Below are 14,713 nucleotides of genomic sequence, written 5' to 3'. Positions count from 1 at the left end.
AGGTGAACCTACAAAAAAGCTACTCAACCTGACTGCACGAAACAAATATCATCCCACCATACTTCTTAGATAAAAAGTGCCCTACATTGAAAGATCCACATAACCTCTTCCGCTAAACAAAGGCTTTCTTTTCTCCTTCTTCTACACATTCTCCCTATGGAACCTGGTCATTCCTACTGCTTTAATGAACCTATGGTCACTCTGCCATCTTCCATGCTGACCCACCCACATACATTTTTGTTCTTCAGACATGCCGTGCTCTCTCTCACCTACATAAAATACTCTTCTCCCCTCCTTCCAACTCCTACCCATCGTTCAGATGAGAAACTACTTCCTTGTGGAAGCTTCTGCTAGCCAACCTCAGCCCTAAGTTCAAGTTCAGTGTCCCCACAGAATGCTACCACACCATCTCATGTTTCCTCTCAAAGACCTTCTCAAATCATACCTTAGGATAACTACCTGTTGACTTGTCTGTCTCCCATTGGACATGAATGAAATGAGAAACCAATAACCAATTAGAGACACATTTAAAAGATATAGGACTTCATGTGTAATCTGTGTGGCAAGTCATCAGTCTCTGCTTCCTTGTCACTAGTTAGAATATAAGACTTCAAATAAACCTCTGCTTTCTATCCTCATTTTAATCTAGAGTAAGCCTGAGGTGGGTAGAGGAGGGTGAAATACAGTGTTTTAACCCTTAACATTTAAGGACTGTTTAAAAAGGTAACAAACAGGAGGTCTGATTAGTTTAACAGGAAGATCTAGTTAGATAAAATACCTCCTCAGCCATTAGAAAATTCAACAACAACAACAAACAATGAATTATGGCATTTTACAAGACCAAATAAGAATCAGCATTGAAGCTTCTTCTACCCAAGACAATAAAAAAGAGAACTGGGGCTGTCATCCATACAGTAGGGACCTTCAATAAAGCAAGAGATGAAGATCTTGAGAAAGGAAGTGATAACCAAGCTGTTGCTCACAACCAAGAAGGTTTCTGAGAGGAAAGAGAACTTTAAAGAGAATTATCAAGAAAAATGTTTGAAAACTAAGGGAAACTAGCAGCTTTTAGGGAGTCAATACATGTCTTCATGAGTAGGGCTAAAAAGCTTGCTGTGGGCTGGGCAACACAGTGTCATACAACATATATTTAATGAATAACAGGAGAAGCAATTTGACCTTGGTTGTTCTACCTGGCCCACAAATGGCTGGTGGGCTCTGCCTAAGCTGAACATGTAACAAGAGTTGCTGGGAGTGCTTTAAGCAAAGCTCAACAGTAGATCAATCTTAGAATACAATGATTATATAGTCCTGTATTCCCAAATTCTTTTCAAAGAATGCCCTCTTCTTAAATTACAAAGAGCAGAACAGACACTGCAGACATACACAGACAAACGCAACAAGCATCAAGACGAGCTCTCAAGGAGGACAGTCTTACCTCACTGCTCTCTCCAGCCTCAGGAAGCCCCTTTCAGCAATGTGCAATACAAGGAGGAATCAACATCTCAACTGCAGACGGAATGCTGACATGCTGCTATAAACCGTACAGAGTAAGAAATGATCTTGTTCTCTTTGGGCCAAATTTTTATGAATTTTCTTTGCATTAACAACATCACATATTCAATGTGTTTTTTTTTTTCCTTGCCATATCACTTGTCACTGCCCCTCCAGCCCAGAACCTATTAAGAGGGTTCTCAGATGATGGTTTCCAAGCTTCATCAACCTTAAGTGCTAGCATATAGCCAACAAACATGCAAACTAACCCCTTAAATTTAGACAACTGGGTCAGAGAGTCCACTAAAATTGAACGATTCTTCAAGTAAGTATGAACGGGTATCTTACCTCTTAATTCTATCCTGTGCAAACAGCTTTCTTTGTATAGCCCCTTGGGCCATCTATGTAGGTAAGAGGAAATAACATCTACATCAAAAGCTACTCAGAAATGTAGAGAGGAGAAAGGAAGGACAACCCCAAACTTGGCTATGTATTTCAGAATAAAAGATGAAGCATGCTACACAGAGGGGAAAGGGAAAACATGAACACAATGAAGCCACTAGCAGAAGAAGAGTTTTAAAAGGGGCGGCGGGGAGGTTGCCATAAACATTTCAGCCTGTGCTTTAATCAATACTTCAAGATGGTCTGGGCATGGTGGCTTATGCCTGTAATCCCAACGATTAGGGAGGCTGAGGTGGGAGGACAGCTTGAGCCCAGGAGTTCAAGACCAGCCTAGCGCAACATGATGAAACCCCGTCTCCACAAAAAATTAGCCAGGCATGGTGGTACGCACCTGTAGTCCCAGCTATCTGGGAGGCTAAGGAGGGAGATCAATGGAGCCTGGGAGGTTACGCCACTGCACTCCAACCTGGGCAACACAGTGAGACCTTGTCTCAAAAACAAACGAACAAACACAAAAACTTCAAGATAGAGTCTGTTATTTTTGTTTTGATGTCTATAATAGGAGAAATAAAACATCTTAATAGTATAAACGTTCATCTGTCCAAACTTCTATGGAAGACCTTCCATAACCTAATGCCCAACTTAGACGCATTGCTCCAAGATTTCTTGCTGAACTATCTAGCCCTGGGCACAAAATACAAGGGAAGCAGGTTGTCACATGATTCTGACCCTGAAACTTCCCCAACAGCAACAACTGCCGGAGTGCACATGTATCCAAAACTAGAAGGATATGTCCCAAAATGTGTAAGGTGCATCCAAAGAAACACTGCTTACCATTGTTAGTGTAATCAGAATCCCCTTCTACTGCTTTCTCAGTTGTGTTTACTAACAAGATAACAAAAGGACTTTAAAAATCAAAATCAGCTGGCATGGTGGTTGACACCTGTAATCCCAGAAACTTTGGGAGGCCAAGGTGAGAGGATCTCTTGAAGCCAAGAGTTCGAGACCAGCCTAGGCAACATAGTGAGACCCTGTCTCCACGAAAAAAATTTTTTTAATTAGCTGGGTATGGTGGCATGTGCTTGTAGTCCTAGCTACTCTGGAGGATCACTTGAACCAGGAGTTCAAGGTTACAGTGAGCTATGATCGTGCCTCTGCACTCCAGCCTGGGTGAAAGAGTGAAGACACTGTCTTTTTAAAAAAAAACAAAAAAAACACAACAACAAAATAAAATCAACAGAAGGAAGGGATGGAGACAAGGATCCAGGCAGAAATGGAGATTCTGGTAGTCTAATGTAGACACTCTACTATTGAAAGATTCCCTTCTCTTTCAAAAAAAGACAAGCTAGTAAAACCCACTTACTCTAATACAAGTCTGGCTACGACATAAGCCTAAGTATGTGGTTGCCAGTTAACACCTTAAAAGGTTCTTGGCAGAGGACATAAGACACACAACATCTAGGACCTCCACCCTAAAAATGGCTTTTTTTTTTTTTTTTTTTTTTTTTAAAGACGGAGTCTCACTCTGTCACCCAGGCTGCCACCTGGTTCAAGCGATTCTCCTGCCTCCGCTTCCTGAGTAGCTAGGATTACAGGCTCCTGTCACCGTGCCCAGCTGATTTTTGTATGTTCGGTAGAGACGGGATTTCACCACCTTGGCCAGGCTGGTCTTGAACTCCTGACCTCGTGCTCCACCCACTTCAGCCTCCTAAAGTGCTGGGATTACAGGCTACCACTGTGCCTGGCCAGCTATCATTTTTTTAAAAGCAGGGATTGAGACTGCCAGCAACAAGGTTTATTTTAACATGCTCCTCCAAAACACCTCTGGGCAACACTTTGGTGCCAGGGCATACACAATTTTTGGAGCTGGGTATGATGAAAGAAACATTTGCCTTTTTAGCATAAAGCAAATATAAAGCTCCCTCTCTACCCTCCCTCCCACAGAAGAACAGGAAATTTCATGAATATATCTGTACATTTGCTTCTCCAAGTAGGGGAATAACTCTCCCTAATCAGCAATACATATGAAAAGCAAACTCTCATGTGGAGGAATGCAGACAACTACAGCCATCTAAGCCCTGCCACTTGACTCAGTTAATTTGCTTAAAACCATTTACAGAGAGGAGACAGGTTAGATTTTACTTCTCCTTTGCCTTATCATGAACATCTAAAGCAATGAAAATTGAAACAGATCATATGGACAGTACCTTCCAGAAGTAGTATTGCCACTTTAAGTCAAAGTCATATGTTTGCGGAAAAAAGCTGCTCTACAGCAAAACCAAGAGAAAGTTTAGAAAAATAGATATGTAGCCCTTTTAGCTAAAGAAAGATAAAGACCAAAAAATGATACACAATTCCATCAATGGGAACTCTGCACTCTACCAATTTTAAGGCAAACTCCATGTCTTCTTTGGTTCCACAGCCTGAACCTCTTGAACCCAAAGAGTGGGCAGGTGAGAAAGATGGCTGGTGACCTGGAAGGGGCTGTGCTCTCTGGGCACCATGATACTGCAAGCATTAGTGCCCACTTCCTCAGAGGCCTTCAAAAAATAATTACTCTTGATTGCACTGATGCTTCTCTGGGCAATTTTCCTTGCCCACAAATCTGTTATAATAGTACTGAGATAATATAATTTAAGTAGTCTCCATTTATTAGTATTTAAGAGGTAGGCCAAGCAGACTAAAAACCAAGAGTTTAAGGGCACGGAGATGCTTTTCCTTCTGCATGTTAACACACAACTCATTCCTAATCATGGTGGCTCTAATCCAACTGACTAAAATGCTTTTCTCCCCAAGGAACTAACGTAGTTACTTGAGAGAAGAGTTTAATCCAGCTTCTCCTGCGTGGCAAAGGGTTTTTTTCATCAGAGGGTAGCTGACTTCAATAAGGGCATTTACAACATCCCAAGGGCTTATTTTCATTTAAGAAATTTGGCCGGGCGCGGTGGCTCACGCCTGTAATCCCAGCACTTTGGGAGGCCGAGGCGGGTGGATCATGAGGTCAGGTGATCGAGACCATCCTGGCTAACAAGGTGAAACCCCGTCTCTACTAAAAATACAAAAAATTAGCCGGGCGTGGTGGCGGGCGCCTGTAGTCCCAGCTACTCAGGAGGCTGAGGCAGGAGAATGGCGTGAACCCGGGAAGCGGAGCTTGCAGTGAGCCGAGATTGCGCCACTGCAGTCCGCAGTCCGGCCTGGGCGACAGAGCGAGACTCCGTCTCAAAAAAAAAAAAAAAAAGAAATTTAAGAGACCACTCCTATGAGACTACTGTCCTTAGAACTTTTGGGGGCAAGTTCCTGTAGAACAGCAGCTCTGAAACCTAGGGTGAGAGACCCTGTAGGAATCGGACTCAACCTTATCCACAGAAAAATGAACAAGCAAAAAAATTTCACAAGACAGTTTATGGAACCAGGTTAAGAAGTTCTAGCCTATTGAGAGAGACTATAGGAAGGATTAAGGTCAGAGGGGGAGTAGCATTCCCCGGGTCTAAACCAGGACTTGTTTCCTTCCCTTCTTTAACCAGCAAGAAGGAACAAAGAGGACGTACTAGTGCAGGCTCATTACTAAGGACTCAAGAGTCTGTTCACTGGCAACTTTGGCTTGGGAATTTCCATTCAGCCTACAAAATGTGTCTAAGAACCACAATGCCAATCTCATCTTCTTTGCTTCCTCTGTCCCTTCACAGGTGTCAGACCTGCCCTGTGGTACGAAGACTCTCAGAGCATTCCTGCTGCCTTCTGTCTCCCTTTGTACTTCGTAGGCATTTTTGCCTCTTGTACTTCTAATTCTACCTTGGGATCACTTCTAGGAGGACTCAAACCACACACCTGCACTGCTGCAGTTTTCATAGCACCTTTACACAGAGCCCTAAGGAAGGGACCTTGGAGTCTCACAGCTCTCACTCCAGCACAACACTACAACAGAAAAATTTTACCCAAGACAATTACTTCTTAGATCTGCCCAGTGGGATGAATCCCTCAGAACCAAAAAGGCCAACGATGTTCTTGTTTCACAGACACCATCAGTAGTTTTAAAGATGTCTGTCCTTAGGTCTGAGACAAGACCCACAAAGGGTAAGTGCCAATGATATGGGAGAAATAGGTATGTTGGGTCAAATCAATAAGGCAAGATGTAGAAAAGGGCTTACCTTTGTCAGGCCTGAAAATATAACATCTAGAAACATCTTTTGCATTTATATAACACTAAACATGGAGCTATACATCCACAACTGAGGTCTGAAAAGTGAAGACACCATTCAACAGGGAGAAACTGGAGTTAGGGCAAGCAAAATCAAGTCAAAACAAAAATCCCAGTCCAAAGCATGAGTGACCTTTTGTATTCACAAGACAGGTTCTAACAACAGCAGTAGGCTCAGTTAAGTCAGCCACTTGGTGGCTGGGAACTAGGGTGCAAATGCTCTATTATTTCAGTGTCACAACCACCAACCTCAGTACCAGCGGAGGCTTTTAGTTATGGAGTAGGTGAGATTCTGAGGTAAAATACAAGGGGCCATGTCAGAATCCAGCTACACGGTATCACTTGTCCTAAATCATCTCTGCTTTGCTGTTAGGGCATGTGCATTAAAATGACTGTATCAACCTGCCTTGTCCTCCCAGGAGGACATTTAAAGATCAACTCAGCATTATTTTTTCAATCAGTATGGCGACAAAACATTGTTATAAAATAGGAGAAAGAGAAATCTTTTTAGAGTTCCCCTGAAATTCTCAAAGAAAAAAATAACCACATGCTTTGTTTTGCAAGCTTCCCCTCCCCCTTTATTCTTCGTTTATAATGTTAAGCTCTTGATGACAAACAAGCCAAGCCCACTTAGCTAGTTTATCAACACATCTAAAGCAAATCATAGTCATACTTTGATTTTAACCAAGCATGACAACAAGGCAACTGAATAGCTTTCCAAACTACCAGTGCAGCGACACTACCTTGCATAGGCTGGTGTTAAATCAGCACTTCATAAATTGTGCAGGCTTCTGCCCATTTAGATGATCTCTCTATGCAGAATCGGCAGTCTAACACTGGCTCTCACAAGCATTAAAAATCATCACTCTGCTAACCCAACTCACTGTTCAGATGGGTCTTCTTGAATGCAGCCTTTATTACAACCTCACTGCTGCTTCCTACACTGAAGGAATATCATGTTTTTAAGTCAGGAGTTCTTCTTTCTCGCTTTATTGTAATCAGGGGGTCCTGCAACGACCCCGATGCTGTTACAAAGCATGGTGCTTTATAACAGTAAAGCTTCTGGAAAACCCAAACAAAAGACACGTCATCCGGTGACGTCAGCCTATATACAGTTCTGTGTGGTCGCAGCACATAAGCAAATCCATTCTTGTGCCGTTTCTCGGAAAAGCTTTTCAGTAAATGCACTCATGCTGCTCCAGGAGCTCTTCTCTGCAACAAGCCACCCATCTGCCATCAACAAGTTAAGACCAAGAGAACTAACGGCTGCGGAAAGGAGACTGAAGCTTTGATTAACCAGCTGAGCAGTTAGAGGTGGAGAAATTTAATAACTTATATTCAAAACTGATTTAGGGATCAGAGCAATCACAGAAAATGAAACCAATGCTTTCCAGAGGGATATCCTAAGGAAAAAACAACTCGTCCTGGTGGATTCAATTTTACTTGGAAAGCCTGGGACACAGAAAACAGGAAACTGGTCAAAGGCTCCTACATGTTAGAGCCTTTTACAGACTCACTGCGTTGAGTCTAACAACCGCGACTGAATGCAGCCTCCAATGTGCTCAGAAGAATGGGTAAGTCTGTGCATTTATATGTCTTGTACATTCAACAAGGAATCACGCTTTTAAAATAAGCTACCGAATTCACATTTTATGAGGGAAATCACCATCATATTTTGGATTTTGAGGTTTAGGTAAAAGCATATATCGATGATGACAGAGACATGTTTTATCTTCTTTTTAAATGGCTTAAGTTTTGGTCCAGTCATACCAATAAGGTTAATTTTTCTGCAGTAAATGAAAAATAAGTTATATGCAGTGAAATCTTTTGCTATAATGTTGGTGGTGGTTGTTTTTTTTAAATAGCCCATATGTTCTGCTGAAAAATATCCTATCTTCTTGTTTTCCTTAAATTATATTCTGCAGGCTTACATTTCAAGTGGCCATTAGGGGCCCCTATGCTGGCAGCAATATATGCAATGAGTATGGTTTTAAAAATGCTGCCTGCCCTGGGTATGGCGTGTCCACCCAAATGCCGCTGCGAGAAGCTGCTCTTCTACTGCGACTCTCAGGGCTTCCACTCAGTGCCAAACGCCACAGACAAGGGCTCTCTGGGCCTGTCCCTGAGGCACAATCACATCACAGAGCTCGAAAGAGATCAATTTGCCAGCTTCAGTCAACTTACTTGGCTCCACTTAGATCACAATCAAATTTCAACAGTAAAAGAAGATGCTTTTCAAGGACTATATAAACTTAAGGAATTAATCTTAAGTTCCAACAAAATATTTTACTTGCCAAACACAACTTTTACCCAACTGATTAACCTGCAAAATTTGGACCTGTCTTTTAATCAGCTGTCATCTCTGCACCCAGAGCTCTTCTATGGCCTTCGGAAGCTGCAGACCTTGCATTTACGTTCCAACTCCCTGCGGACTATCCCAGTACGCCTGTTCTGGGACTGTCGTAGTCTGGAGTTTCTGGATTTGAGCACAAATCGTTTGCGAAGTTTGGCTCGCAATGGATTTGCAGGATTAATTAAACTGAGAGAGCTTCACCTAGAGCACAACCAGCTGACGAAGATTAATTTTGCTCATTTCCTACGGCTAAGCAGTCTGCACACGCTCTTCTTACAATGGAACAAAATCAGCAACTTGACATGTGGGATGGAGTGGACCTGGGGCACTTTAGAAAAGCTAGACCTGACTGGAAATGAAATCAAAGCCATCGACTTGACAGTGTTTGAAACGATGCCCAATCTTAAAATACTCCTCATGGATAACAACAAGTTAAACAGCCTTGATTCCAAGATCTTAAACTCCCTGAGATCCCTCACAACCGTTGGTCTCTCTGGCAATCTGTGGGAATGCAGCGCCCGAATATGTGCTCTGGCCTCCTGGCTGGGCAGTTTCCAAGGTCGGTGGGAACACTCCATCCTATGCCACAGTCCTGACCACACCCAAGGAGAGGATATTCTAGATGCAGTCCATGGATTTCAGCTCTGCTGGAATTTGTCAACCACTGTCACTGTCATGGCTACAACTTATAGAGATCCAACCACTGAATATACAAAAAGAATAAGCTCATCAAGTTACCATGTGGGAGACAAAGAAATCCCAACTACTGCAGGCATAGCAGTTACTACCGAGGAACACTTTCCTGAACCAGACAATGCCATCTTCACTCAGCGGGTAATTACGGGAACAATGGCTTTATTGTTTTCTTTCTTTTTTATTATTTTTATAGTGTTCATCTCCAGGAAGTGCTGCCCTCCCACTTTAAGAAGAATTAGGCAGTGCTCAATGGTTCAGAACCACAGGCAGCTCCGATCCCAAACACGACTCCATATGTCAAACATGTCAGACCAAGGACCGTATAATGAATATGAACCCACCCATGAAGGACCCTTCATCATCATTAATGGTTATGGACAGTGCAAGTGTCAGCAGCTGCCATACAAAGAATGTGAAGTATAATATCTACCCATCATCAAAAATCACATCAGATAAGTAACCTATTTTACATAGTAGAGGCTAAATACATATCTAATTTTTACCAATGGTGACATTAAGCCTAATTTTCCAAACTAAGTGGAGACTTAGTTTTTGAAGTGTTGAAGTATTTTTAATTTTTTAAATGAAACCATATTTTAAGTGTTAAATGAATCAATGCTCACATTAATTTGCACTCCTGTTGGAAAGTCTAAAATGCTTACTTCAAAATAAGAAATGTATGTAATTATATACAATCGTGTGTAAACCTTTACACTAAGGTCTCCATATACTATTTTTTTCTACTGAAAACAATTTAGAAAGAAGCTATTGGGCAGAAACAGATATAGATCAATACCTGTTTGATCACTGCTCTCCATCCCATGTACCACAACTATCTTGCTGCTTAAAAGGAGACTTAGTAAAGTTCTCTTGTATGATAATTTGGTATTTACTCAAATCTTCAATTTCTTGCCAGGGTGGGAAGTAGAATTTCATGTATGCTGAAGACTGGTAAATATTAAACATTCTCCTTCCAGAGTTTCTGCCTGGGTTAGTAGATATTATCAAAGTCCATATCATGAATTCAGAACCCTTTAATGTAATTCTAATAAGCTGAGTGACTCTTTAATATATTTACACAATGAATCCAAGTGACTGTGAAAAGGTCTCATTACAATGAAACCAATCCTAAATAATTACACCAACTTCTTATACATTTCTCGTTTGACTTATAATGGACATGATTTTTGTGGCATTTAGACAACTGTTTTAAACTAGCATTAAACTGTCATTGTACTAATTAATGTACTAAATCCTATGTTTACATTAATATGTGAAAAAAGATTTAGAAGATATTTTGGAGATAAACAAGACAAACTGAGTCAATTTAACAATCCTGACATGCTCCCTCCAATTTAAAAGCGCACACACACACACACACACACACACACACACACACACACACTCTCGCGCTCTCTCTCTCAACTATCATGATCAAAGATGCCTTGACAAAGGGGTTTAAACCTCTTTCTTCTGCTTTTTCCTGATCTTCAAACCTCAAAGAGCCAAGTTAAAAATAATTGGCTAGCAACAGGCTTAACACTGATTCTTATTGTATTACAAAGGAACCATGAAAAAAAACACTTTCCAACTATTATATAATACATTTCGATCTTTCAATAAAGATACGCATTCACGCTGTAAGTGTAGTTCAGTGTAGGTGAAGAAAACAGCACCACTGAGATGAATCTCATGGCAGAACAACTCGACATGCCTATGCAGCCACACAGTGGTAACTTGAAGGCAGCACAGAGGTGAGGGATTAAAAGGAAAGGCAGATTTTGAAATCTGACTCTCAGGTTAGCTGGAGTTACAAGGCAGCCAACAATGATTATACACAATCTGCACCAAACAGGGAAAGGACCTGCTGCTGAAAAGGGAAGAGGGGTAGATCCTCCAATGTAAATATAAACATGCCATAGTTAACAAATGATAAGGATGCCACATTTTTCATGCAGAAAAGAACCACAGGTATTCAGTTTCTTGTATTATGATTTCTAAAGAAAACCTATTAAATATTTGGAATTTAGATGCAAGCTACTCATTCACACAGAACTTTTCCATAAACATTGTTCCACATATTGAAAAAACTGTAAAATTATAGCACTAACTTGATTTTAGAAAATGAGCATTTTTTACAACTGCCATTTACTGTATGTAGAAAAAAGACATAAAACCTTAGAGAAAGCCACTACCATTTTTCAAGTTATCTTTTCCCCAACATCAACATCAACATGATATCCTTCATTCAGGGCATATTTTTTCTTCCCAGGATCAAACTGAAAACATGTTAAGGCTATAGTTTAGCCAGTAAGATTTAATCACAATTTTTCTTCTTTAATACTAAGAGATGGGTACCTTAGTACCCTTCACCTAACATCTCTCGGTAAAAAGCAGACAAGATCACAAATTACAGTAAAAATGTGCTCTTTTTTAAGGTGGGCAGATTAGTTTGTCAAAGTCTCAGCCCAGTTCAATTCAGTTGATCTCGAGTGGTGAGTATTTTGTCTCTTGTTAAACCAGACCCTGGGCTTGTCTGGGCAGAGACAGAAGCTGATTTAACAGCATAGAGCACAGCGCCCTACTTCCCCACAGACAGGCTGAATTAGAAGCCCCTATTACAAATAAGAGCACCACGAGCTAAAATTTACCAACCCATTTATCAGGATGACCATTGCCATTTGTCAGGTGACAGACAGCTTGGTCACAACACAACTGTGTCCTGAGCACACAAGATTCCATCAGCCCTGAAGGACAGCAGAGGAGTATTTTCCATCATTTCAAACCACAAACAAAATTAAGATTTAAACTGTGGGATGGGTAAGAAATCCCCTTCTTTGGCTGGGAATCTCCACCTTAATCCTTAAAGGACCATAACTGGCAAAATCCTTAGTGTACGGACAAAAGCAAATTGGAAAAGCCAGCCATTTACTAATTCAGAGGAACAGCATAGCCAAGGCTAGCGAGGCATACTTTCCAGTTGAAAAAAATCAAAATTTTTTGCCTTCCATTTTTCTGGGTAATGTCCTTTAAGAAAAGTGAATGACAGTAGTACCAAAAAGGTATTTTCCTTTCTCATTTAAAAGCAAAAACCTCCCTTTTTAATTGCCTGTAGAAGGCAAGATTTTCTTTCATTTTTGTCCATTTGTGTTTCAGAATCAGCACAGGTTTGAAGATTAGACTGTTAGTCATCTGTGCTTTCTTTACCAACTGGCTAGAACGGAACAGCATCACAGCAACGCTGCGGATCTTGGTTACACAGTGTCAGAGCTTTTGTTTTTTGATGGGGTTTTATCCTCTTCACCACCACTACCCACTCCATTTTTTTTCTATTTTTAAGATTAGAGGAAAATGACCATTAAGAACCAGAAAAATAATTAATCTCTCTGGAAAAAGGAAAGCTAAAGAAGACTATGATACCATACCCATCTAGAAACCAAGAACTAGTTTGAAATCGTTTATATTCATTTCTGTAGCATGACAGGGATTTCAATCACCTTTCTGAAAAGAGTGGGCTGATAAACTTGTAAATCCACACACAACTCTGAGAATACCCACTGCCAGCATCAAAAAGCAAAGATACTAATTTTTTAAGCCAAAAATCTGTACTAACACATGTAATTTCTTAATGTGCCTAAGTTAATTTCTGTATCAATTCAATAAATGGAATTGACTGAACTTCCCAACGCCACTAATTATTAAAATCCATCTGCTTATTCTAATGCTAGTCACCAAGAGCTAGACTCCATCTTTCCAATAAAAATGAGCCCTATGTAGCACTAGGTTTGAATTCTAAAATTCAAAACAGGCATTTCATTTTCTTAAGGCACACTTCCTACACACAGCTATCAGGGGAAAAAGCTATAAATGTCCTGTTCTTTTTCTGAAGTGTGGATATCAATATAAAATTTGTTAAAGAATATTTTTAACAGCTGACTTACATGATCGTTTTCCTAATACAGGAATACAGCGACAGACCTATCTGAAAAGTCTGTTTGGGGGCATACTTTTCATATCTTATTGACTAAAGCCCTTGAGCCAGGAAAAAAAAAAAAAAAGAGAGAGAGACAGTAAGGCCATCTATAGATAATTAAATATTTCTCTATCTAACCTGGGGCAAACTCATAGTACTTGAATAAGGCCAAAAACAAATAGAAAATTACTGTTTAAGCTTTCATTCTGCTATTGCAAACATTTGGAAACCTCTGCAACTCTTTCAACTAACATTTTTGTCCTTAGCGGTTTTTTTTTTTTTTTTTAAGTCTGATATATGGAATGTTTGGTGAACCTTCCTATCAACACTGAGACTGGAAACTCAAAGTACAGTCCAAATACATTGTGTTCAATCACCTTCAAGAGCCATTTTTCTTTTTGGGTGGGAGGTGGGCAGATGGGTTGAGGGTGGGAAGAAAATACTATTATGCAGGGTGTTTTGGGAGGGGGGAGGGTAACATAAAGAGCAGTGTACAGGCAAGTTTTGTTATTAAAATTGTGTATACTGTAAAAAGTGAATGCCTTCTTTTTACTTTTCCTTGATAACCTATCAATTTTGACATGTGAAACTTGAAAAGCCATTTGTGACAGACATAGAAATCTTAAATGAACAGTTGTTTTATTCCATGTTCCTCTACAATGTCAAATGTGTCCACTGAAAAAAGGGGCAGCTAATCATTACCTGTCTTCAGAGAGAGGTAAAACTAGGATAAGAAGAAAGTAAAGGTAAAGTGGTGAGAAGGGAGAGTGCCTAAAAAGCTGTCATGCAGTAAGAAGCTGCTCTGTCAAGAGCCTGAGCAAGTGGACAAACAACTGTCCCAGGCTCACAGGGCATGGAGTTGGCTGCCCCTCTCTGAATCCTCCATTACAGTGAACTAACACCACAGAGAGCTTCGGAAAGGTACCAATTGCCTGTATCTAGCCAACAGCGACTTGGCCTCTACCTTGGGGGTTGGTTGATGTCCATCCCAGCAGCACCTTCCATGCCACTCCTAGGAGGGAGGTCCCACAGGTGCTTACACACTAGGACCATGAAGATCCCTACATGACCTCCTCCACCCTGGATGACGACTCAGTGAGTACAGATGGGAAAAGGAAGGGAAGATTTTAAACTACAATTGACCCTTGAACAACACTGGGGTTAGGGGTGCCAACCCCCTGCTCCACACAGTCGAAAATCTGCATAACTTTTGACTTCCCAAAAATTTTTATTAATAGCTACTGCTGACTAGAAGCATTACTGATAACATAAACGGTCAGTCCATATTAGATAACACATATTTAATACCGTCAGTCAAAATAATACATATTTTATATGTTATATGTATGATATATGGTATTCTTACAAAAATAAGCTGGAGAAAAGAAAATGTTATTAAGAAAATCATGGTGGGGCATGGTGGCTCACGCCAGTAATCCCAGTACTTTGGGAGGCTGAGGTGGGTGGATCACCTGCGGTCAAGAGTTTGAGACCAGTCTGGCCAATAAGGCGAAACCCTGTCTCTACTAAAAACACAAAAATTAGCCAGGCAACCTGGTATGCGCCTGTAATCCCAGCTACTCGGGAGGCTGAGGCA

At 40.8% G+C, this 14,713-nt stretch overlaps 2 protein-coding genes across 38 annotated transcripts in view; one reads left to right on the top strand and one right to left on the bottom strand.

Moving 5' to 3' along the window:
• Positions 1–14,713, bottom strand: part of CTNNA1 (catenin alpha 1) — a 181,610-nt gene that overhangs the window by 52,459 nt on the left and 114,438 nt on the right. For 5 of the 37 annotated variants that reach the window (NM_001324013.1, NM_001324009.1, NM_001324002.1 and 2 more), the window contains exon 1: positions 6,838–7,346. The exons of 9 other annotated variants lie outside the window; for them this stretch is intronic. The gene's annotated coding sequence lies outside the window, so the exon portion shown is untranslated. Of the gene's footprint in view, positions 1–1,438; positions 1,535–1,842; positions 1,896–2,287; positions 2,387–6,837; positions 7,347–14,713 lie in introns of those variants that run through there. 23 more of the 37 variants (NM_001324008.1, NM_001324004.1, NM_001323987.1 and 20 more) reach the window with 14 other exon arrangements.
• On the top strand, positions 7,241–13,655 carry LRRTM2 (leucine rich repeat transmembrane neuronal 2). The gene is made up of 2 exons (NM_015564.3): positions 7,241–7,668; positions 8,020–13,655. Exons 1-2 carry the CDS (start codon positions 7,665–7,667, stop codon positions 9,564–9,566), a joined length of 1,551 nt encoding a protein of 516 aa, NP_056379.1. The 5' UTR covers positions 7,241–7,664; the 3' UTR covers positions 9,567–13,655.

This window comes from Homo sapiens, chromosome 5 (genome assembly GCF_000001405.40).
Source record: "Homo sapiens chromosome 5, GRCh38.p14 Primary Assembly".
Classification (NCBI taxonomy): domain Eukaryota; kingdom Metazoa; phylum Chordata; class Mammalia; order Primates; family Hominidae; genus Homo; species Homo sapiens.
Note: the sequence above shows the minus strand (reverse complement) of the source record. Positions and strands in the feature narration are given on the sequence as shown.